General features: G+C 47.4%; 1 annotated feature.

Annotated features, from left to right (window-relative positions):
• Window positions 314–868: an enhancer, noted in NCBI's record as "OCT4-NANOG hESC enhancer chr6:22313984-22314538 (GRCh37/hg19 assembly coordinates)". NCBI's record gives its function as "activates a minimal SCP1, AML or CMV promoter by ChIP-STARR-seq in naive H9 embryonic stem cells {active_cell/tissue: H9 hESC(naive)}" and the evidence as "EXISTENCE:reporter gene assay evidence [ECO:0000049][PMID:30033119]".

Raw genomic sequence — 1128 nt, forward strand, 5'->3', positions numbered from 1 at the left:
ACTTCTCCACTGCTCTCACAGGTTGGTGTTGAGTGTCTGTGGCTTTTCCAGGCACAGGGTGTAAGCTGCCAGTAGATCTACAATTCTGGGGTCTGGAAGATGGTGCTCTTCTTTCCACAGCTCCACTAGGCAGTGCCCCAGTGGGGACTCCATGTGGGGTGCTCCAACCCCACATTTCCCCTTGGCACTGCCCTAGTAGAGGTTCTCTATTAGGGCTGTCCCCCTCCAGCAGGCTTCTGCCTGGGCACCCAGGCTTTTTTATATATTCTCTGAAAATCTAGGTGGAGGCCATCAAGCCGCCTTCACTCTTGTACTCTGCATGCCTGAAGGCTTAACACCACAGGGAATCTGCCAAGGCTTATAGCTTGCATTCTCTAACGTGGCAGCCTGACTATACCTGGACCCCTTTGAGCCATGGCTGGAGTTGGAGTGGCCAAGATGTGGGGAGCAGTGTCCTGAGTCTTTGCAGGGTAGCGGGATCCTGAGCCTGCCCCTGCCCCCCAAAAGCATTGTTCCTTCCTAGGCCTCTGGGCCTGTGATGGGAGGGGCTACTGTGAATGTCTCTGAAATGCCTTTGAGTCCTTTTTCCCATTGTCTTGGCTATCAGCATCTGGCTCTTTTTCAGTTATGCAAATCTCTTTAACAAGTGGTTACTCCACAGCCTGCCTGATTTCCTCTCCTGAAAAAGCTTTTTCTTTCTCTGCCACTTGGCCAGTCTGAAAATTTTCAAGCTTTTATGTTCTGCTTTCTGTTTAAATATAAATTCCAAGTTTAAGTCACTTCTTTGCTCCCACATTTGAGTGTAGGCTGTTAAAAGCAGCCAGGTCACATCTTGAATGCTTTGCTGCTTATAAATTTCTTCTGCCAAATACCATAAATCTCACTTTTAAGCTCAAACTTCCACAGATCCTAGGGCATAAACAGAATGTAGCTGAGCTCTTTGCTAAGGCATAATATGCGTGACCTTTGCTCCAGTTTCCAGTAAGTTCCTCATTTCTTTTTTTTTTTTAATTATTTTAATTATTTTTTTTTTTTGAGATGGAGTCTCGCCCTTTCGCCCAGGCCAGACTGCAGTGGTGTCATCTTGGCTCACTGCAAACTCCACCTCCCGAGTTCACGCCATTCTCC

The sequence above is a fragment of the Homo sapiens genome, chromosome 6 (assembly GCF_000001405.40).
Source record: "Homo sapiens chromosome 6, GRCh38.p14 Primary Assembly".
Lineage (NCBI taxonomy): Eukaryota > Metazoa > Chordata > Mammalia > Primates > Hominidae > Homo > Homo sapiens.